Source organism: Homo sapiens, chromosome 11 (assembly GCF_000001405.40).
Source record: "Homo sapiens chromosome 11, GRCh38.p14 Primary Assembly".
Taxonomy (NCBI): domain Eukaryota; kingdom Metazoa; phylum Chordata; class Mammalia; order Primates; family Hominidae; genus Homo; species Homo sapiens.
In genome coordinates, this window is record NC_000011.10 from 35,655,955 (window position 1) to 35,680,271 (window position 24,317).

General features: G+C 40.9%; 1 protein-coding gene across 2 annotated transcripts in view, besides 4 other annotated features; it reads left to right on the forward strand.

The window, feature by feature from the left end:
• Nucleotides 6,478-6,797: an enhancer, noted in NCBI's record as "active region_4625". NCBI's record gives its function as "activates an Ori minimal core promoter by ATAC-STARR-seq in GM12878 lymphoblastoid cells {active_cell/tissue: GM12878}" and the evidence as "EXISTENCE:reporter gene assay evidence [ECO:0000049][PMID:35858748]".
• TRIM44 (tripartite motif containing 44) overlaps nucleotides 6,821-24,317 on the forward strand; it is a 155,233-nt gene continuing 137,736 nt past the window's right edge. For both annotated transcript variants that reach the window (NM_017583.6, XM_006718254.2), the window contains exon 1: nucleotides 6,821-7,826. In NM_017583.6, coding sequence (NP_060053.2) covers nucleotides 7,158-7,826 — 669 coding nt within the window. In that variant the 5' untranslated portion in view covers nucleotides 6,821-7,157. The remainder of the gene's footprint in view (nucleotides 7,827-24,317) is intronic.
• Nucleotides 6,838-7,217: a silencer, noted in NCBI's record as "silent region_3264". NCBI's record gives its function as "represses an Ori minimal core promoter by ATAC-STARR-seq in GM12878 lymphoblastoid cells {active_cell/tissue: GM12878}" and the evidence as "EXISTENCE:reporter gene assay evidence [ECO:0000049][PMID:35858748]".
• Nucleotides 6,838-7,509: a biological region, named in NCBI's record as "H3K27ac hESC enhancer GRCh37_chr11:35684511-35685011".
• Nucleotides 7,009-7,509: an enhancer, noted in NCBI's record as "H3K27ac hESC enhancer chr11:35684511-35685011 (GRCh37/hg19 assembly coordinates)". NCBI's record gives its function as "activates a minimal SCP1, AML or CMV promoter by ChIP-STARR-seq in naive H9 embryonic stem cells {active_cell/tissue: H9 hESC(naive)}" and the evidence as "EXISTENCE:reporter gene assay evidence [ECO:0000049][PMID:30033119]".

Below are 24,317 nucleotides of genomic sequence, written 5' to 3' on the forward strand. Positions count from 1 at the left end.
GTGTAGAGTTCAAATGTTAAAAGACTTAAGGGCTATCAGCCACGTAACAGCTGACACCTGTTTATTCAGGAATACACTATTTCTGGAAGTCTCACATGCACTCAGAAAACAGCTGCAGCTGCAAACTGCCCTGTCCTCCACATCTGCCTGCTGCTGAGCGTCTTGGAGATGCCTTAGAGCCATTGCTACCTACGATGAGAAGACAACGGCAATGCCAAGTGTGATGACCAGCCCCCAAGATGACTCAAAGTTTTGGGGTAATTTGTTATTGTTTGGGCTCAGAAAATGATACCCCAAAATGAAGGCTTCAGAAGCATAAGTTTCTCTCTGACTTTCTCCCACTTTCCTGTCTCTAGCCCCTCATTCTCCCCTGAGGCTAGCCAAAGAAACTAGAATTCCTCTTTTTTTTTTTTTGAGAGGGAGCTTCGCTCTTGTTGCCCAGGCTGGAGTGCTGTGGCGTGATCGCCGGCTCACCGCAAGCTCCGCCTCCCAGGTTCAAGCCATTCTCCTGCCTCAGCCTCCCGAGTAGCTGGGATTACAGGCATGTGCCACCACACCCGGCTACTTTTGTAAGGTGAGTCGTAGACACCAGAACCTCTTTTCCCCAAAGCCAGTCATAAAACTTAAAAGTATTACTCTAACTTTCCCCCACATTTCTGCATAAAAACTGGCCATAAAGAAATGATCTGACTTACTTTGCTTGATTGTAGGTCATAAGACCCCGATTCCAGAGAAAGTCCTGCCCTGTACCTAGAAGGAAGGAATGTTGCACAGAAAGGCCAAGAGGAATCTAGACAGGCAGACCCTGCTGTCTCCCCACTCAGTCTGTTATTGTTATCAGAAAGGGGCCCCAATCTAGACCCCAAAAGAGGGTTCTTGGATCTCGCCCAAGAAGGAATTCAGGGTGAGTCCGTAATGTGAAAGCAAGTTTATTAAGAAAGTAAAGGAATAAAAGAATGGCTACTCCATAGACAGAGCAGACGGCTGTCGGCTGCCCACTTTTATGGTTATTTCTTGATTATATGCTAAACAAGGGGTGGACTATTCATGCCTACCCTTTTTAGACCATATAGGGTAACTTCCTGACGTTGCCCTGGCATTTATAAACTGTCATGGTGCTGGTGGGAGTGTAGCAGTGAGGATCTCCAGAAGTCACTCTCATTGCCATCTTGGTTTTGGCGGGTTTTGTCCAGCTTCTTTACTGTCATCTGTTTTATCAGCAAGGTCTTTATGACCTGTATCTTGTGCTCACCCTCTATCTCACCCTATGACTTAAAATGCCTAACCATCTAGGAATGTAGCGCAGTAGGTCTCAGCCTCATTTTACCTAGCCCCTATTCAAGATGGAGTTGCTCTGGTTCAAACACCCCTGACATTAGCATTAGATCATACCCTTTTTTCTTCAATCATATTTCTACATGGCTGTTCATACTTCATTGACCCTAAGTATAAAAATAGACAGTTTCCCCCTGTACTTTTGGGTCTTCATTCTGAAGACTCTTGTGTAATGTAAAACTTATATTAAATAAATTTATACATCTTTTCTTCTATTAATCTGCCTTTGTTCAGGTGATTTTATAGCAAACCTTCTGAGGGTGAAGTTTCCCCTCCCTTCCTACATTATGTAGCGATAGACAACTAACACAAATTTTATTAAAAAGAATAGTTTTTCCATAACAAAACCCTAAAATGTTAGAATGGTTTTAGAACTGAGCAGAGGGTAGAAGCTGGAAGGACTTTGAGAACAATGTTAGTGAAAGACTAGAGTCTTTGCTGGATGCGGTGGCTCACACCTGTAATCCCAGCACTTTGGGAGGCAGAGGCGGGCACATCACCTGAGGTCGGGAGTTCGAGACCAGCCTGATCAACATGGAGAGGCCCCATCCCTACTAGAAATACAAAATTAGCCGGGCGTGGTGGCTCATGCCTGTAATCCCAGCTACTCGGGAGGCTGAGGCATGAGTATCACTTGAACCCTGGAGGCAGAGGTTGCGGTGTGCCGAGATCATGCCATTGCACTCCAGCCTGGGCAACAAGAGCGAAAAACACTAGAGCCTTTGTAGGTGAGAACTTAAAGGGAAATGAGGAACATGTTTTTGGAAACTGGAGGAAAAGGGTCCTTGTTATGTAGTGGCAGCAGTTTAGTAACATTGTCACCTGCAGTAATGTGCAAAGTAGAAATTGTGCCTAACCAGCTGAGTGTTCTAGCTAAGGATATTTCATGGTAGACTGTTGAAGGTGCTAACTGATGTTTTCTTGCTGATTATAGCAAAATGTGAAAAGAAAGAGATCATCTAAAGGAAGGACTTAAAAAAAAATCCGGAACTTGCAAGTTTTGAAAATTCCCAGCTTCCCCAGATGGCAAATGATGCTACTGTGAAAAAATGGCTTCCAGGCAAGGAAAAACTCCAGGACATTCCCAGCAAAACATCATCAAATGATGAAGGTAAGAGTGCGGCTATAAAATCCTTTGTTCAGACCTCAAAAGGATCTATAGCAGTGATTCATAGAATCATTCAAACAAACCATAGAGCTTGGAGGAAGTTTATAGTGTTGTGCTTTAGTGGTTTCACTGAGGGATTCTACAGAGTAAAGAAGGGTTTATCTTGAAAAGAGCTGTATGTATAATTTTTGTCCAATGGTATGAGCCCCAATTCGATTTATAGAGGATTCACAAAGTTTTCAAAACAATTCTTTGGCAGAAGCACTGCCAGCATGGACACACAGACAGAGTACAAAATGAAAAGTAGCCTTTGGACCTCCTAAATTCTACTTGCAGTAAGCAAATTGATACAATTACACAGCTGCAAACATGAACTACTTTTAATGGAAAAGGAAAGATGACTCAGAGAGTGGAATCAAGAGCTCAATGGGTGAAATAAAAAGCCATGGGGAGTCATTCCTGAACAAGGAGTAGGTTTGAACCCTAATCAAACAGCTTCCAAAATGTGTCTACCTGGATTTAAGGATTCTATGAGCCAGTGACTTCTCAGGCCTCCTGTCTTTCCTCCTTTTTGAGCAGGACTGTCTGTACCACTAATCTTTTTTATTTTTATTTTAGACAGAGTATTGCTCTGTCACCCAGGCTGGAGTGCAGTGGTGTGATCTCAGCTCACTGCAACCTCCGCCTCCTGGGTTCAAGCAATTCTCCTGCCTCAGCCTCCTGAGTAGCTGGGATTACAGGCATGCACCACCACGCCTGGCTAATTTTTGTATTTTTTTAGTAGAGATGGGGTTTCACCATGTTGGCCAGGCTGGTCTCCAACTCCTGATCTCAGATGACCCGCCCGCCTCGGCCTCCCAAAGTGCTAGGATTATAGGCATGAGCCACTGCGCCCAGCCTGTACCAGTTATCTTAAACCTGTCCCACCATTGCATGTTGGGGTGTGGGAGACATAGGCATTCAAATGAACTATACTTGAGGATCTGCACTTAAAACACTACACCAAAGTGCTTCATCCACACCTGGTCCCAATTTAGATGACAGGACTCCAGACTTTGAACTGATAATATAATGGGTTGAGACTTTTGGGGACCTTGGGAAGAAGTGAGTGTATTTTACATTTGGGAGATACGTGAATCATTGGTGGCCAAAGGGCAGACTGTGACAGCCAACCTCCAAGATGGCCCCAAAGATTCCCATCTCTTGGTTTTCAAGCCCTTGTGCAGTTTCTGCCCACACTGAATAGAGCTAATCTCTAACCAATAAGCTATGTACGAAATGATGGCGTGTGACTTCTGAACTTAGGTTATAAAAGACATTGCATCTTCCATCTTGCCCTCTCTTGGATCACTTGCTTTGTGAGAATTCAACTGCCCTGTCTTGAAGACATTCCAGCAGCCCTATAGAAAGTGGTGAGGCCTTTTGCCAACAGCCATGTGAATGAACCATCTTGGAAGCAAATTCTATGCTTGTAGGTAAGCCTTCAAGTGACGATAGCACAGCCAACATCTTTACCAAAATCTCTTGAAAGACCCTAAGTCAGAACCACTCAGCTAAGTCACTCCCAGAGTCCTTGCTCACAGAAACTATGTAAGATAATAAATGTTTATTGTTTTAAGCTGCTACATTTTGATGTCATTTTCTATGTAGCAATAGGTTAATATAACAAGGGTGCTATTTGTGGACACTCCCAAAGATACTAATTCCTGGGGAATCAGATGGTTCGGATTTCTCTGCAGAGGGGTACAGAGATCTGCCTCATTGAGTCTGCCACACCTTGTCACCAGAAATTTATGGAGTCCCTTTTTAATAGTTTAATCTGGCCAGGTGTGGTGGTTCATACCTGTAATCCCAGAACTTTGAGAGGTCGAGGCTGGTGGATCACTTGAGTCTAGGAGTTCGAGAGCAACCTGGGCAACATGGCAAAACCCCATCTCTACTAAAAATACTAAAGGTAGCCGGGCATGGTGGCACACACCTGTAATCCTAGCTACTTGGGAGGCTGAGGCAGGAGAATCGCTTGAACCCGGGACGCAGAGGTTGCAGTGAGCCAAGATCGTGCCAACGCACTCCAGCCTGGGCAAAAGAGCAAGACTCCATCTTAAAAAAAAAAAGTTTAATCTGTCTGCCTCTAAGACCCTTTCTCCACAGAGTGCTCAAGAAGAATTGTAAAGTGTCAGATACTGAACTGCACAGTATTATATTTTAACTTTCTGTCAGATAACATTAAGAAGAAACAGTAATAACAATAATGATGACATGACTCCCCCTCCCCTCATCAAATACCCTGGATACAACAATGTCCTTTTAAGATATTAAAAAGGCCAGGCCTGTGGCTCACACCTATAATCCCAGCACTTTGGGAGCCTGAGGTGGGAGGATCACTTGAGTCCAGGAGTTCAAGACCAGTCTGGGCAACATAGTGAGACCCCGTCTCTACAAAAAATACCAAAACAAGTAGTGGGGCTTAGTGGCTCACGCCTGTGGTCCTAGCTACTTGGGAGGCACTTGGGAGGACTGCTTGAGCCCAAGAGGCTGAGGCTGCAGTGAACTGTGATTGAACCACTGCACTCCTGCCTGGGCAACAGAGAGAGACCCTGTCACCAAAAAAAAAAATAAATAAAAAAAATAAAAATTATTTTCATTGAATAAAAGACTTTCTAAATGTGAGAACGTTATGTTTGTAAAGGCTAAGTTGTTTCCTTTTAAGCCTGGGGGAGGACAGGAGTAGAAATAACCAAGCAAGGCACACTTCTCATTAGGTATATTAACGTTGATGTTTGAGTTGACATTTGTTGAATTTTTTTTTTCAGAATGGTGCTTCAATTCATGTTTCAAAAGCAGACACAGAAATAATTTCCAGAGAAATGAGCTGGGGGAAAACAGAAATGTGTATGGAATTGGAACAAAATAAACCTGATTTTTTTCAACATTGTATAGAATTGTTCTGAGGTTAAAAAGAAAGGTTTCTAAAAAATAAATATCTAACAAAAGCTGCACAAAGATTAGGCATACATTATCCATGGAGACATTAAAAACTATTAAAAAGGTTTTTTTACCCCACCTCATCCCCTGGTATGTTTGAGGAAAGCATCTGGAAATTCTAACTCAAAATCATCTAAGGGAATCAATGTAAAACAGACACCATTCCATCCCCTTTCATCCTTCTTAATACACCTCAGCCTCTCCCTTGACTAGATAAAAACGTAATTTTCCCTCTCCCAAATACAGTGCAAAACAAAAACTCTTCTGTGAATGGAGAGACATGGATATGGGGTAGAGGTGGAGACTTGCCTACATTACCAGCAGCCAGCCGAAAATGCCCTGTGTGTGTAAAATATGTTCCTTCAAAGGGGCATTGTGAGCACTAAATATAATTTGTGCCAAAAATAATAATGAAAGCTTAGTGAATACTCTACAGTGCAGGCATCGTTACATTTAATCCACAAAACTACCCCATGAGGTAGATATTTACCGTTCTTTTCACTTAACATCTTTTTTAAAAAGCGGAAAACAGAATGATGAATTAACTTGTCCATGGTCATAAAACTGATAGGTAGTGGCACCAGGATTTGGGGACCATCGGGCAGAGGATCTTCCAAAACCGGCTTTTAAAGAGCCACAAAAAGATGTAGCCGGGTTCTTGGCACTACAGTACTGCTTTATAAACAACAGTTCCCTTCTTTTCTCTTAGAGCCCAGTGGGAATCTAGAGGGACACCTTACATAAAGGAAAATGACTGCAACCTGGACCTGTCACTCGACAAATACTGCCTCTCCCCACCTCACTTCACCTGACGTCTCTGCCCAACCGAAGGCAGCTCTCAGAAAACCGCACAGAGGTTACCACCCCAGAAATTCTGAGATCCTAGGAGGTAGCAATGCAAATAGACAAAGCACAGTATTGCTTTGGATCGAAAATATTTGTTTGCTCATCCTAACTCCAATTCCCCTAGCCTAGAACAAACATAGCCCTTCCGCACTCAGGAAATCCCAAGAGGTCAGGTTCAGTCTGGTAAACAACACTGTCCGGGCACCTTGCAGAACACTGGGGACTGTGACGGGCGGCGACAAATTGGCACAAGAGAGACTGAAATGCACAGGGACACCAGCCTAGTGGCCGTGAAAACTCAAGTTGACACTTCCAGGGAGGGAATGGGGGAGGTGGAGCCCAATTCCTGCTTCTGGAGAGAGTAAGAGACTTCCTCCATCCTCCTTCTCCCTCCTCCTCCTCCAAGGCACGCTGAGATTTGGAGCGGAGGAGCTGAGCCCCGCGGGAAAAGCAGAAAAGGGTCATTGCCACTTTAAATGACTCAGGAAGTAAAAGGAGGCCTCCTGACGGGGAAAGGGAAAGTGGAACCGGGGCGGCGCGGGGGCCGGCGGCTGCCGCGATCTCTCCCTGGTAGCGGGAGGCTGAGCGGGCGGCGCGACGCGGGGGCCGACGGGGGCGCCGGGTGGCCGCGCCGGAAGTGCCTTGCGCGGCAGAGGAAGCGCAGGGACAGAGCGGAGCAGGCCGAGCCGGCGGAAAGGGTCTTTGCTGCTGCGCCCGGGCAGGGGCTGCCGCGGCCCCAGGTCCCGCTTCGAGACGCGGCGCGGTCCAGGCGGGAGGCGACTCCCTAGGAAGGGACCCGGGGCGGGAGGAGGAAGTGAGGCCGCGCGGAAGGAAGGCGGCGAGCCCCGGGGCCCCGAGGCCTTGGCCGCGTCACAGCACCCACATGGCCTCTGGAGTGGGCGCGGCCTTCGAGGAACTGCCTCACGACGGCACGTGTGACGAGTGCGAGCCCGACGAGGCTCCGGGGGCCGAGGAAGTGTGCCGAGAATGCGGCTTCTGCTACTGCCGCCGCCATGCCGAGGCGCACAGGCAGAAGTTCCTCAGTCACCATCTGGCCGAATACGTCCACGGCTCCCAGGCCTGGACCCCGCCAGCTGACGGAGAGGGGGCGGGGAAGGAAGAAGCGGAGGTCAAGGTGGAGCAGGAGAGGGAGATAGAAAGCGAGGCAGGGGAAGAGAGTGAGTCGGAGGAAGAGAGCGAGTCAGAGGAAGAGAGCGAGACAGAGGAAGAGAGTGAGGATGAGAGCGATGAGGAGAGTGAAGAAGACAGCGAGGAAGAAATGGAGGATGAGCAAGAAAGCGAGGCCGAAGAAGACAACCAAGAAGAAGGGGAATCCGAGGCGGAGGGAGAAACTGAGGCAGAAAGTGAATTTGACCCAGAAATAGAAATGGAAGCAGAGAGAGTGGCCAAGAGGAAGTGTCCGGACCATGGGCTTGATTTGAGTACCTATTGCCAGGAAGATAGGCAGCTCATCTGTGTCCTGTGTCCAGTCATTGGGGCTCACCAGGGCCACCAACTCTCCACCCTAGACGAAGCCTTTGAAGAATTAAGAGTAAGTATTGGGCCTTCAGAGCATAAACCTAGGGGTCAGGACACCTGGGTTTCAACTCAGGTGGCCTGGCTGTGACCACATTCGCTTTCACTGTGTCCCTAAGAAGCTAGTCTTTCCAACTTTTTGGGAGCAGTTCTTATTCACCGTTTTTGGTTGAACTCTTTTGAGAATCTGATGAAAGTTCTGGACTCTGACCTGAGAAAATACACACAAAATCTAGTATACAATTTCTAGAAAATTGCAAGTTTCTGGTCTGTGGATCCCAGGTAAAGCATTTCTTGGGAGTTTTGACCCCACTTAGGCCAATTTCCACAGCATCACTATTGTTGAAACTGGTGCTTTGTGCTAGGGCTCTTGATAAGGCAATCTTTTTGCCTACTTGAAAACATGGGAAATAGGATTTTGCCACATGAATCCAAGCAAGTGATACGTCTGCATTGAAAAGACTAACAAAATAGTTTTAATAGTAACTTCATATGTGCCCCGAGTTCATTTTAGATTCTTCGTGTTTGAAACTTAGTAGAAAAGGAGGGTAAGAAGATGGAGGCCAAATTGGGGTGGGAGTGGAAGTTCCCATGTCCTCTGTCTGGATCTTTGTCTGTCGTGGACCTTACTGGTCCCCCAGAACAGTGGACACTTCGGAAATATTTGTTGAATGAATGAATTTGCAGACGATGCACCTTTTATTCATATTGTGGATGTTTACTATCATTGAGAGAAACTGCTGGTGTTAATCGGGGAGGGAGGGGGAAATTTTGAGTGGAGTGATCAGTTCATTAAGTAATCTGTATTAGTGAACATTGTCATATTATGATGACTTTTGCTTCCCTGAATAGGGAATAGCTGGCATTGGGATAACAAATACCTTGAGAGTGAAGATCCTCTGTATTAGGTTTTCCCTTTTTTAGTGCCTATTTATAATTGTAAAATGCACATTCAGAAAGTGTGTAAAAACTTACAGTCTAACAAATAATTATAAAACAAGTACTGAGGTAGTCTCCATCCAGATTAAGAAATAGAACATTACTAGCAATATTGAAGCCTTTTCCCCATACCTTTTCCAATTATAACCATCTCTCTTCTGCATAAGTAAGCATAATCTTGACTTCTGTGATCATTTCCTTGCTTACCTTTATGCTTTTACTCCATGTGTATGCATTCCTAAACTTATTTGAACTTGACACTATGGGTGTCATATTTTTATCATGCATTCTTCTGGGTTTTGCTTCATTTTCTCAACATTGTGTTTGTGAGAGTCATCCTATGAGTGACTGTAGTTTATTCACTTTCATTACTATTTCGAATTCCATTTTATGAATATGCCACAAGTTATCTATTCTGTCATAGATGGTCATTTGATTTGTTCCCAGGTTTGGGAGCGTCGGGCTGTTACAAACAATGTCAGTGTAAATATTCTTGGTCATGTCTCGGTGTACATTTAACATACATTTAAGTGGAATATAAACGCAGGAGTGAAATTGCTGTGTCAGAGGCTATGCATATCTTCAGTAATACTACATGTTGCCAACTATTTTCCAGAGTGGTTGTACCAGTTTGAATCACTATGAAGAGTATATGAGAGTTCCTGTTGCTCTGTATCTTCAAAACTTGCTATTACTGTATTTTTCATTTTTGTCAATCTTGTGGCTATGTAATGGTATTTTATTGTGGTTTTAATTTTCATTCCTCTGATTACTAATGACTTTGAGGATCTTTTATACTTCCTCTGTGAAGTACCTAGTCAGTTCTTTTGCCCATTTTTCTATTGAGTTGTCTTTTCTCATTATATGAGTTTTTATATATCTGTTTTTTTTTTTTTTTTTTTTTTTTTTGAGATAGAGTCTTGCTCTGTTGCCCAGGCTGGAGTACAGTGGCTAGATCTCAGCTCACTGGAACCTGCGCCTCCCAGGTTCAAACGATTCTCCTGCCTCAGCCATCTGAGTAGCTGGGATTACAGGCACATGCCACAATGCCTAGCTAATTTTTGTATTTTTTTTTTAGTAGAGATGTTTTTGCCATGTTGACCAGGCTGGTCTTGAACTCCTGACCTCAGGTGATCTGCCTGCCAAAGTGTTGGGATTATAGGTGTTAGCCACTGTGCCCAGCTATATATTTGTTTCTGATTTTTTTTGTTGTTCTTTCTATGTGGGTTGCAAATATCTTCTATGTGGTTTTTCTTTTTAAAGAAGTTGTGCCTTGAATAGAAGCTCTTCATTTTAATGTGGTAAAACTTATCAATACTTTTCCTTATGGTTAGTGCTTTTTGTGTCTTGTTCTACTTAGTATTGATTTTTGTGTAGTAGAAGTAGGGGCGCAATTTCATTTTTTCTCCATACAGATGGCCAATTGCTATTGCTGTATTTATTGAAAAGCCCTTCCTTTGTGCACTGATTTGCTGTCCCACTGTCATATATCAAGTGCCCATAATATGTGTGAATGTGTTTCTTGGTTCTTCTGTTCTCTACTGTTTATCTGTTAGTATATCCCTGTGTGAACAGCATGTTTTCTCAGTTATCCCTTTATAATATGTCTTAATATCTGGTAAAGCAGGTCCTTCCATCTTGTCCTACAAGAGTGTGTTGGCCAGTTTTGGCACTTTACATTTCTTAGAATCATAGTATTAAAAAGCCTGCAGGAGTGTATTTGGATATTAAATTTATAAGCCAATATAGGGAGAATTAATATCATTACAACATGAAGTCTTCTGATTCATTAATTTAGGTCTTTTTTATTGCTTCGCAGTTAAGTTTTATATTTTTTTCCTCAAAGATTTTTCACATCATTGTAAAATTTATTCCTAGATACTTCATAATTTTATAATATTGTAGAAAATATGAGCCAGGCACAGTGGCTCACACCTGTCAGCTATATGGAAGGCTGAGGTGGGAGGATTGCTTCAGTCTAGGAGTTTGAGGCTGCAGTGAGTTATGATCCTGCCATTTCCCTCCAGCCTGGTCGACACGGCAAGACCCTATCTCTAAAATAAAAATAAATGGTTTTAAGTTTTGTTTTCTAATTGAATATAGGAATATGATTAACTTTTATATATTGTTTTTTTGTGATCTATCTGCTGAATTATCTTACATATCCTAATAATTTATCTGTAGATTTATTCTACATACCTGATTGTATTATGTGTGAAGAGAGATACTTTTTGTTTGTTTCTTTTCAATCCTTATATCTGTTATTTGTTTTTTCTTGCCTTACTGCATTGGATAGCACCCCGAGTATTATGTTGAATGGATGTGGTTGGTGGGTATTCTGGCCTTGTTCCTAGTCTAGCAGTAATTGATAACATTGCACAAATAAGTGATATGTTCTATGGTTTTTGAAAATAGATATGTTTTATCAGTTTAAAAAAATTCTAGTCCTGGTTTGCTAAGTTTTTCTGAATTTTGATTGGTTATTTAATATCAAATGCTTTTTTTGCATCTTTTGGGATGATCATGTGATTTTCTCTTTCACTTTTATGATGATGAATTACATTAATTGATTTACTTATTAAAGTTAATTTTTAAAATCAGTGATACATTCATATACCTCAAAAGCCTGTGTCCTTTTCACCTGATTCTTCTACCAGCTGTTGGTAACTACTTGTTTTTTCTTAGAAACAGGATCTTACTCTGTTGATCAGGCTGGAATGCAGTGGTGGGAGCATAGCTCACTGTAATCTCAAATTCCTGGGCTTAAGCAATCCTCCCACCTGAGCATCCTGAGTTGCTAGGACTACAGGTGTGCCACCATGCCTGGCTAACTATTTATTTTTTATTTTGTAGAGATGGGTGTCTTGCTATGTTGCCCAAGTTGGTCTTGAACTCCTAGCCTCAAGCAGTCCTCCCGCCTCAACCTCCTACAGCTGTGGGATTACAGGCTGTTCCTGGCCAATAACCATTTTTATTAGTTTTTTGGTTACCCTTCAGGTGTGTGTTTCTGCAAATATAGGTGTGTGCATATATATGGTCTTACTTTCATCTCTTCGTATTGTTGTATTTTATAATTAAAGCAGAAAGACTAGCATTTCTGGGATATCCTTGATCCAACTTGGTCATAATGAAGTAGCCTTATGTTTTTGGATTTGGCTTATTAATAATTTATGTAGTTTTTTTTCATTTATATTTATGGGAGAAATTGGCCTATCATTGTTCTTTTACTGTTCTTATGGGATTTTGCTATCAAAGTTTGGCTTCATAGTCTGAGGCAGAGTGTAGTGTTTCTTATATATTCTTTCTCTCTTTTAATGGTCTGGAAGTATTTGTGAAAGATTGAAATATTTCTTCCTATATTGATTGGTAGAACTGACCATGGAAGCCATCTATTCCTGGAGAGAGTGAAGGGGGAAGGGAGAGTTGGTTTATTGTTGGTGCTTTCTTTTGTTTTGTTTTTTGGTTTTACATTTTTTAACTGATCACCAACATTTTATTATTTTTAGTTTCAAACTTTTAAGTTCTGGGGTACATGTGCAGGATGTGCAGGTTTGTTACATAGGTAAACATGTGCCATGCTGGTTTGCTGCACAGATCATCCCATCACTTAGGTATTAAGCCCAGCATCCATTAGCTATTCTTTCTGATGCTCTCCTTCCTCCCACCCCCTATCCACTGACAGGCTCCAGTGTATGTTGTTCCCCACAATGTGTTCATATGTTCTATCATTCAGCTCCCACTTGTAAGTGAGAAGATGCAGCATTTGGTTTTCTGTTCCTGCATTAGTTTGCTGAGGATAATGGCTTCTGGCTCCATCCATGTCCCTGCAAAGGACATGATCGGATTCCTTTTTATGGCTGCATAGTATTCCATGGTATATGTACCACATTTTCTTTATCCAGTCTATCACTGATGGGCATTTAAATTGATTCAGTGTCTTAGCTATTGTGAATAGCACTGCAGTGAACATACACGTGCGTGTATCTGTGTAATAAAATAATCTATTTTCCTTTGGGTGTATACCCAGTAATGGGATTGCTAGGTATTATTGTTTTACATAGTATTTTTGACTATGGACTCAATTTCTTTAATAGTCATAGGTCTGTCTAGGTTGTCTATTTTTTCTTAGGTCAGTTTTGATAAGTTACATTTTCTCAGACGTTTGTCCATTTTATGTAAATTTTCAAATGTGCTAGTATAAATTTGTGAATCATAATTCTTTTTTTTTCATTCTGTAGCTGTCTTAGCTATTCCTTTAAGAACTGTAGGCATATTGATTGATAATCTGCCTCTGATAATTCTAGTATGTGAAGACTTTGTGGACCTCTTTTTGCTGCTGTTTTTAGTTTTTCATGTTTCATGTTTTTATTTCTTTTTGTGCTGGGTTCTGTGTAGCTGTGTAGCTTCTCATTGCCTTTTAAAAACTGCTTATGGGACTTTTCCAAATCTTGCATGAAGCTGCATACTTCAAGAGAGGATTCGAGTTTGATTCTGCTAAGGCCTGAGAGTACAACTTGTTTAGAATCCCCTTCTACTAAATTAATTTCTTGAGGTTTCTTGGACCAAACTTTCAGGAGGACCTTGCCCACATCTTAGAGATTTTCTTTCATTTTTTCCCCCTCTCTGTTTTGTTAACCTCTCTACCTTCCCCTTTGGATGTTTGGATAGTAACAAGTTTAGTTTGCTTTTACTCTGAGATTTTTAGCAGGGTGAAAAGGTGAGAGGGTCCCAAGTCTATATGGAAAGGATCCCCTTTATTTATTTATTTATTTATTTATTTATTTATTTAGAGACGAAGTTTCACTCTTGTCACCCAGGCTGGAGTGCAATGGCTCCATCTTGGCTCACTGCAACCTCCACCTCCCAGATTCAAGTGATTCTCCTACCTCAGCCTCCTGAGTAGCTGGAACTGCAGGCGCCCACCACCATGCCCAGCTAATTTTTTATATTTCTAGTATAGAGATGGGGTTTCACCATGTTGGCCAGATTGGTCTTGAACTCCTGGCCTCAGGTGATCCACCTGCCTTGGCCTCCCAAAGTGCTGGGATTATAGGCATAAGCCACCACACCTGGCCAGAAAGGATCTGCTTTAAATGGTTTTTCTGTTTGTTTGTTTTTTGTTGTTGTTGTTGTTGTTGAGATAGAGCCTCATTCTGTTGCCCAGGATGGAGTGCAGTAGCGTGATCTTGCTCACTGCAACCTCCGCCTCCTGGGTTCAAGCAGTTCTCCTGCCTCAGCCTCCCAAGTAGTAGGGACTACAGGCATGTGCCACCACACCCGCCTGATTTTTTGTAGTTTTAGTAGAGACCAGGTTTCACCATGTTGGCCAGGCTGGTCTCGAACTCCTGACCTCAAATGATCTACCCGCCTTGGCTTCCCAAAGTGCTGGGATTACAGGTGTGAGCCACCATGCCTGGCCGTCCTTTAAATGTTTTACTCTGAGCATGCCATAGGCTTTGCTTTCTGTTATCCCATGCTTCCCTCACACCTCACTTTCTACTAACCAAATGCACAGCCTAGTTTCTTGGGCTCAGTATATGTTCTCAGATCAAGAACTGCTTCGTGTACTCTGCTTATCCTAATGTTAGAACATTACTAACTGAACTATAGACTTTACTGAATGTCACTAGTTTTTCCTCTTGATGACTTCTGTACCACGATTCTATCCAGGACTTCACATTACATTTCCTTGTTTTGGATGATCTTGATAGTATTAAGTAGTGCTAGTCAGGTATTTTGTAGAATGTTCCTTGATTTGGATTTGTCTGGTGTTTTTTCTTATGGTGAAACTGGAGTTACAAGGTTTTGGGAGAATATAATATTCTTCTACGCTTTGTTTTTTACACTTAGTACGTCTTGGAAATCACTCCATAGATTTGCTTCATTCTTCATGTATAGCAGCTGGAAATACTCCATTGAGTGTCATTCAATTCTTAATTTAAGATACCGTGTTTTTCAACTCTAGAATGTCAATTTGGTTATTTATTTAGAGATCTATTTCTCTGGATCTTTTTGGGAATCATCCTTGATTGTATGTTACATTTTTCTGATTCTTGTCATGTCTCACAGTTTTTCATTTAATGCCAGATGTTGTGTTTGAAGGAATTGTAAAGACTGGAGTAATATTTTCTTTATTCTCCTCAGAAAGAGCATGACATTTGCTCTTTTAGGTAGCTAGGGTGAGAAGCTGCTCATTTTGATTCGATAAAGATATGAGCTTGATGGCAGCTCTAGTTTCAGTTCTCTGGTTTTAAATGTTTCGAGTGCAATGTACATTTACTTATTGGCAAGAGAATATCTTGGAACAGTAAAAGTGGCTTAGTGGGATGATGGGCAAAAGAAGAGGATCGTTGTTATACTGCATTCATTCATTCAGCAAGTATTGAGAATCAACTGAGTTTAGGTACTTTCTAAGTATTGGGAATATAGCAGTGAACAAAATGAAAGTCTGTACTTCTGTCAGAGCTTACATTCTGTTGGAAGGAAGTAGAAAAGAACAAATAAGCAAACGTGTAATAAGTATTATAAATGAAAAGTAAAACATAATACAGGATTAGAGAGGGACAGGAAATATCCTTGCTCTACCATTTTTTGACCTTAGGCAAGTTATGTTATAGTTTGTTCTTGTTTCTGCATTTCTAAAATGGGCATAATGATAAGAAATAAAATAGAACTTTTGTGAGAATGAAATGACTTTGTGGGTGATTAAGAGACTTTAACAATGCTTAACACATTGTTAGTGCTCACTAAATGTTAGCTCTTCTTTTTATTATTAATATAAGGAGGCTAATTATACAAGTTTAGAATTGAGAGGAATTTGTACAATTTATGTTTTGATACCTCAGTGTTTAACCAGGCTGTCAGTGGCTGATATTGGCAATAGAAGGCCAAGTTCTTGCCAAAGTCTGCTGACATTTAGAGAAAAAGCAAACTTCAGAGTAGGCCAGAATGAGCAGAAAAACAGGGTGATCCTACAGCAAGAGGGGATTAGGGATGGAGACAACCTGCTAGGCCAAATGGACTGAGTGAACATCTTGAAGGCGTAAGATCAGCATTTAGTCACTTGAAGTACTGTTCTTTCTTTTCTCCTGGACATTGCTGTATTGCAGTTTTGGTCTGTGGCATTTGGTCTCCAGAAGATTTTGTGGGTCGAAGTTTGAACTGAGCCTAGTCTTTAGCTTTATCATAGAAAAATAGTTATGCAGCCCAATTTATGACTTCTTACCTGAGTCATGACTTGTCATCTCAGATATGTGGGATTCTCTTACTCTGACCATAATTTCTATCTACGAAAATGGGTCACTGGATCTGACAAAAGAGCTTGATCTGGCTTATGGATTTATTCATATGAAAATTCTTACATTGTCAAGGGAATTTGCATTCAGAGATACATTTAATGAATTTTTATGTTGAACAATAAAAGTGCTTTAGATATACTCAGTAGTCTAGTAATTTTTAAAATTATTTTGAACACAACCTACAGTAGAGGAAATATATTTTATACTGTGATCTCCTTTATACACACAGCCACCCACTACACATACCCTTTTAACTCAAATGGAACACCATTTGCCTTACTACATACGATATGTTCTGTTTCTCTTCTATTCTGTTAAAAAAAATTCTAGACACTCCCACTAAACTGATTTCATGGCACACTAATGTGTCATGTCCTGTGGTTTGAAAACCACTCGTCTAGTGTACCCCAAGATCACCTGAAGAAAAGGTAGAGTCTTACAAAGTGGCAAAGGGAGAAGTGGTTGGCAGAATTCAGTAAATATATAGCATTTGTGGAGTTCTTAACATGGCTTTTCTAAAGACAGATCAAAAGGGTTTTAAGCCACACCCTTTGCTTTTAAGATGGATATTTGGGGAGAATGTTTGGTTAAGTGATAAGCGGAACAACTGCTTGGGGAGTGACTGAGGAACATTGGTGTCTGGGTGAATGGGAGGATATAGCTGTGATTCTCGAGGGGCTGGAGGTATGCCGTAGTATATTCCATAGTGGTCAGTGAATCTGGCTTTTCATTCAGCCCATAGAAGAAGCTCTGACAGGGAGACAGAAGGTTGAAGGCTTGCTGTAATGTATCTATTTATATTTTTTACTTTTTATTCTTGCTGAAGAGATATAGGTCACCTTCTAATTAGAGTTTGTAGCACTGGCATACATAGTGGTTCAACCAGTGTCTTATTTATTTGTACAGAATAAGACAAACGCTAAGACCAAGGTAAAGGGGATGGCATGCTGTCATTAGTTGGAGCCACCCTGCATAGTTCTGTAGAAAGTTTATGTGAGGCCTGCAGTTCTGGGATTTCCAATCAAAATGTACTTTCTTAACCTGTAAAAAGTCTTGGAAGTATGCAGTGAACTAGACAGATAGGGCTCTAGCTTTTTGGAATTCACTCTCTACAGTGGGAAAGAAATAGTAGAGTAATTTTGGATGGTGTTATATGCAATGAAAACAATAAATCATGGTAATGTAAGAATGAGTTGGTGTGGCAGGATAGGTTACTTTTTGATAAGATGTGTTATAGAAGGCATCTCTGAGCATATGATATTGGGCAGAGACCTGAATTATGACATCCTGTGAAGATCTAGGGAAATTTTCCTATTGTGTTACCATTCGATGCTACTGTATAGAGTCCAGTGATTTTATTCATGGCAGAGACAATTGGTTTGGTGTAAATGAACAACTCCTTATAGAAGGGTTAGTTGGCTCTGTAAATGAGAGAATGGCATTGTTCTAGCAATTGAATGTGTTGTTAGCATAGATGAAAATACTGCTCTATGGAGGGAATATGAGATTATTTTACATTAGTTAGATTTTTCAGGGGATTTAACATTGATGGTGATGGAGCTTCATTAAAGAACTAGAGTGCTTAGCCAGTGGTCTGAACAATCCACTTTTGAGAGAAAAGGTCCAGGCTTTCTCTATTCTCTCTCCTAGAAGTCTGGTGCCCTCTTTTTCTCTTTCCTGGCCTTTCAATCAAAATAGGATGAGTTCATAGGCATTTTATGCTGTTAGGCAATTGATTTTTTGGGTAAGGTTGCTGATGCAGTAGGCTTATTCTTAGGCTCCTCTGGTGATAAAGGACTCTTGAGCCTCTGTCACCATTGTCTTGACCACCACTCTTGACAGGGAGGTTGCCCTGCCTGCCTGTTCATTGACATACCCACCTTTTCTCTCCGCTTGCACCTAACCCAAGTCTGAGAAGCCAGAGATTCATCTGTATCAGTGCCTCGTATGTGTTCTGCTTGAAGTTATGGTTCAGTCTGAGAGGACCAGCCGAGTTTCCTGTTCTTATTATTGTTTTAATATTCAGAACCAGGGGCTAAACTTGTTAGGTGGCAGTAAGGAACACAGATGCTCATGGACCTTTCAGAATAGGAGACGTATTATAGACAATGGATGAAACAGAAGCTTTAGTCTTGATACGGGGAGTAGAGATGAGAATGGGGTAAGAAATGCAGAAGGCTGGCTCTGGGAGAGTTGAATCTTGTGTGTGTGAGTGGGAGAGAGAGAGAATTTGCGTGTGTGTGTGTGTGTGTACACATGCGCACATGTGTTTGCGTGTATGTATATATCGCTATGATAGGATCAAGTCAACATTGCATCAGGTGCAAAAAAAATCAATATTGATGCCCTTTTTAAATGTCAGAAAACTGATCAAGAATGAAAAAACCAAAACCAACCAATCAAACAAAATTTCCCAAATATACCAAAGGCTCAATCCACAATTTACGGCAAATAACTCTATGGGCAGTGACTTTGATGTATACTATAATGTGCTAGATTATTTTTGTTGAACATTTATATATTAAACCCACTTCAGATGGGTTTAGTTAGTTTTTGGTAAGGTAATAATTGGTTTTTAACATCAATAAGAAGATTAGCAAATACATTCATTATAGTATGTCCAAACTATAACATATAGCTGGCTTTCATTTTAGAGAATGATATTTTATTTTCTTAAACTAATTTTATTCATCTGAATAATTTTGGAGCACTTATTATGGTGAACTGTGTGGTGGATACGAAGAAGAATAAGCAAAGTTTCTAACTTCAGGAAGCTTACAGCCTAATAGGAAAGAGAATCTTTTCACATGCTTATTTGTGTGTATTAGAGAAAAGGTACAAACAGTATGCTATGGAAGTGGAGAGAAAAGAGAAATTGATATCACTGGAGGGCATGGAGCCAGGAATAGATTCTTAGAGGAAGGAGTCTTTGAGGTAGGCCTTGAAAGATGGGTAGGGTGTTACTAGGTAGATACAGGCTTTGAGGTATCCTTTTGTTCCCATTATAACAGCCTGTGAACATTTATTGTAGCACTAAATACTGTGTACTATGTCATGTTATTTCTTTCCATGTCTTTCCCTGGTGGGTTATAAATTCTTTAAGGCTAGAACTATATGTTATTCATCTTTGTATTCCCAGCACCTAGCACAGTGCCTGCTGGATGGTAGATGAACATGAAGTATGTGATAGGAAGTGTAATAATCTTGTCTAGTTCCAGGGCATTAATGAAGAACTGAGAGAGTATTGCATAGTTGTTGTAGATCAGTGTTTACATTGGGATTAATTTGACTGCATCTAAAATAATGAAATAATTTGGAAAAATCCAAAATAACCACTCCCACATGATGTTTATTTCTCTGTCACATAAAATAACTTTGGGTGTAGGCAGTCTAAGGTTGGCGTGGCAGAACCATGAAGTTACCAGAAATCTAGGCTCTTTTCAGCTCCATTCTGACATCCTTACTGTGTCATGGGCCAAGATGACTGCTGGAGGTCCAAGTTCCAGAATGACAGACATAGAAAAGTGAAGAAGGGCACACCCCTCTATTTTTGTTTGTTTGTTCATTTGAGACGGAGTGGCACGATGTCGGCTCACTGCAACCTCCGCCTCCCGGGTTCAAGTGATTCTCCTGCCTCAGCCTCCCAAGTGGCTGGAATTACAGGCGCCTGCCACCCTGCCAAGCTAATTTTTGTATTTTTAGTAGAGACGGGGTTTCACTATTTTGGCCAGGATGGTCTCGATCTCCTGACTTCGTGATCTACCCACCTCGGCCTCCCAAAGTGCTGGGATTACAGGCATGAGCCACTGCACCTGGCTGGGCACACTGCTCTATTTTAAAGGGAACTCTCGAGAAGTTATATACATTGCTGCTTATGTTTCATTGGCCAGAACTCAATACCCTGGCCTTATCTAGTTGCAAGGGAGACTGGGAAACAGTCATTTCTCCAGGCCACAGCGTGTGCAGCTAAAAGCTGAGGTTCTTTTACTAAGGAAAAATGGGAGAAGAATATTGAAGGACCAAACAGTCTTTGACCCAGTTGGCTTTGCAGTCTGTTTTTGAGTCTTAGCTCTTCCACCTACTAGCTGTATAATGTTGAGTAATTCACTCAGCCTCTGAGTCTTGGTTTCTTCTTCTGTAACATGAGCTAAGTAATTGTTTCTCCTTATTGAGTTATGATGAGGAACAAACAAGATCATAGATGTAAAGAGTTTAGCACAGTGCCTGGAATATCATAAGCCCTCAGCAATGGGTTGCTCTTATTCTTATTACTGTTATAAAGCCATCTAAGGTTCTATTCTGAGTTCCTTTCCAGACAAGTTAGTCTGGCAGCAGTAGAAGCTCTGGACACCAAGTTTCTTGGGTGCAAACTGTTCATCCCCCTCTCCTTCTGTTCCTTCTGCCTGCTCTAATCTGGTGGGTAGATAGGCTGGAGAAAAACTTGTCTTTGGAGAAGAGGCTTCTGTATATTTCAGTGTCCTGCTGGTGCCTTATGCACTAGCTAACCAAAACACAGCTGGTAGGTCTAATTTTAGGTTCACAAGTCTTGCTGGTTGTCCTCTTTAGATTCTGTTTTACATTCTGAACTGTGGGAAGTTTTTATAGAAGCAGAGGGGAGGTGGGGACAAGATACTCTTTACTTTCTGGTTGGAAAATAGCCTTCATTTTCTTTCTAGTAGGCAGTCATGGGGAGAGATGTAAGGTTAAGTTTATATAGGCACCCATACTATTTTCCTCTGTGAATTTTGAGTGTGTGTGAACCCTGGCAGGCTCTAACCTGTGTTGATTGGTAGACTCTGACTTCATGTGTATAAATAATGAAAATGCTAATCTTTGGCCGAGGTTATAAAACCAAGAGTCTAGAAACCTTTGTCTGTTGTTGAATTTTGAGACTGTTTTTGTCTGTTTTTGAATTTTGAGACTGTTGTTTTGAGACTGTTGTTGAATTTTGTCTGTTGCTGAATTTTGTTTGAATTTCCAGAGATATGAGAAAAATAACAAATAGCTGTCATTTATTGAGTGGTTTGTGGCCAGGTCCTTTTCATATATTGTTTCATTTGATCCTTAATAAAATTCCACAATTAGCTATGTTGTTATGTTTTCCATTTTATGTATGAGGAAACTCAAAAGAGGTTAAGTTTTGCTGACAGTTACTTAGCTAGCAAGCGTAAGGACTGGGATTTGAATCCAGGCCTGACAAAGTACATATTCTTTCCACCATTCCATTTTGCCTCTACAAATTTGATTACTCCCTCTCATATTTAATCTAAGTTGTACTGACACATTATCCTTATGTTTATTTTCTATATGAAGGCATTTAATAGATGAATACTTTCTGAATATCCTAAAACTATTTTCCCCTTCTCTTTGGTCTTCTTTCTATATATTATATATAATTTTAATTAGTAAAATATTTTTTTTATTTTGTTCTATTCAGCACTTCTCTAGGTCAATACCTGATACTTAGTAGTCACTCAATGTATTGTTATTTAATTAATAATAACAACAGAAATTATAACTAACATTTATTGAGAACTTAGCTTGTACTGCTTCTCTAAACTTTCTGCATATTCTTTCATTTAATGTTTACCACAATTCTTTGAGGTATAGTATTTCTTAAGATAATTTTATATATTATTCGAAGTTAGTGGCATTTCTTTTCTTTTGGTCTATTTATTCATTCAACAAATATTTATTGAAGGCTTAAAATTTGCCAGGTGGAGTATTTTGGCCAGTAGGGAACCAACAAGAAGCAACTCTAAGTCATGGAATTTATAATCTTTGAGCAAAACAGACAGTAAGGAAGTTAAATGATAAGTGATATTTTAAATAATGATAAGTACTGTGAATAAACAAACTGGGGAAGGAGATAGGGAGTGACTGGGATGTGGGAATGAGAGGGAAGCTTTTTAAGGATCTGAGGACTTTTTGAACTAGTGACCTGGGTGTAGTTAGAGCCAGTGATGAGAAGCTCTAGGGACATAGTGGTTCAACTGAAGGGAACAGCAAGTGTAAAAGCCCTGAGATAGAACAAGTTTACTAAGGGGATAAAATGAATGGCTGGAGTATAATCAGTAGTGGTGGGGTAGGGGTTGACTAGTAGATGAGGTCAGATTACCAAGTAGGCTGTGGTAAGGATTTTGGGTTTTATTCTAAGTAGTCATAGACTGTTTAAGCAAGGGAGTAAATGATCTGGTTTATATTCTTAAAACTTCTCTTTGGTTCCTATGTGGAGAATGGGCTGTTGGGTAGCAAGAGTGGGAGCGGTATTGCTGCTTGTACCAGGTTGGGAATAGTGGACAATACGATAGTGAAGAATACATGCCAACTGGATATGGCATATATTTTAGAGTTCGGCCTAAAAAGACTTGCTGATGGATTTTTTTTCAGACCCAAGAATGACTTTGAGTCTGACAACTAAAAGTGATGGCCTAGTGTAGGAGTGGGTTTGGAGTTAGAAAATGAAGTAATATAAAGGAGGTGGTAAAAATTTTCGTACATGGGATGGTGATACTAAAATTTAATTTCATTTCCTTTTGACAAAACTTTGCTTTCTGATTTGATTCCTTAGGAGGACTTCCTCTCCCCTCCCTCTCCCCTCTCCCCGCTCCCTCCCCTCCCCATTCTCTTAGACAGTGTCTCACTCTGTTGCTCAGGATAGATGGCAGTTGATCTCCGCCCACTGCAACCTCCACCTCCTGGGTTCAGGTGATTCTCATGTCTCAGCTACCCAGGTAGCTGGGAATACAGGCCATGCCCGGCTTATTTTTGTATTTTTAGTAGAGATAGGGTTTCTCCATCTTGGCCAGGCTGGTCTCAAACTCCTGGCCTCAAATGATCCACCCACTTTGGCCTCCCAAAGTGCTGGGATTACAGGTATGAGTCACTGCGCCTGACCAAGGAGGACTTCTGTATTCCATCTTCTGATCCTTTTCCACAATTTCTCCCAGACAAGACCTTCTGGTAAAATGACTAAGTTGGATTGATTTTTTTTTTTTTTTTAGAAGAATGATATCAACACAAGCCAATGGAATAGGGAGGAAAACACCCCAATACAGATAGCTAGTATTCTTTCTGAATTCAACATCTTCTGATTGATTCTTTGTAATAATAGAATTCAATATTCAGGAGCCAGTTTAGGATATTTATGTGGCTTATATTTACATTTTTGCTGACACGTGACTTTTCTTTTGGGTGCCTAGCTGGTTATTGGCATTAGACTAGACTGACTTCCATGAAAGTGCAGAGACCACTTGTCAAGGAATTCTTCTTCCTATTCTGATGCCACTGCTACCTGCCATATTCTACTTTTGCTTCTACCCTTTACCCATTTTTAAGGCATGTTTCCATTAGCATGAAATGTTATTTCTGTGTTTTGGGGTGGATGGATCTGAATGTATCAGGTAATATGTACTCCTTTGAAGAAAGGCACCCCAATTTTCATGGTGTTCAAACACAAGGAACATTAGAGGTAGAAAACATTTAGAATTGCTTCCAGGGATAGCAACTTCAGATATCTACCAGAAAGGTAATGTAAAGAAGAGAAGCAAGCCAAGGTAACTGGCAAACTTGAGAGAGGTTGCTTTGCCTAAAGTGAGTAGTTGCTACTCAGCTTCAGCCAATTTCTGCTATATGGGAATGGGAGCCCATTACAGTCATACCCTTTGGATTTACAAAAGAAGCTAGAAATCTTTATTTTTATGTCATATGTCCTCATTTTTAAATGCTAGCAACTAACTTAAAACTCTTAGTGGATGTGTGGGACAACACTCTAAAAGCCAAAGAAAATAGTTCTGTAGGCCTCAGGCTGTGGATATATAGCTTTTGATCTGGTCCATCTTCCTCATTTACAGATGGAAAAACAGAAACCCAGGGATGTAAAATGACTTTTCCAAGCTCACACAAGCAGTTGCTGGCAGTGCTAGTAGTAAAACCTAGGTCTCCTTTCTCTTTGTGCAATGCTCTTTACATTTGGAATGTTAATTGTTTTTGAGGATGTGAGAAAAGCTAATGTCATGTACAGCCCAAATTTTATATCGTTTTGAGGATTTCAGACCCCCTGAAATCCATACATGAATATCAAGTAAAGAACCTTCTCTTGAATCTGCTGGTCCATATGTTTGCATTGTCAAAGGAAAAGGCCCCAGTATTTACATTTAGGCAAATTCATGGGAAGAAGCACTGTAAGCAGGAGACCTTGGCCCTCTTGGTCAACTTCTGCTTCTCTCCCTGCCTTACTGCCTGCCTTTTTTTGTTTGTTTGTTTTTTAG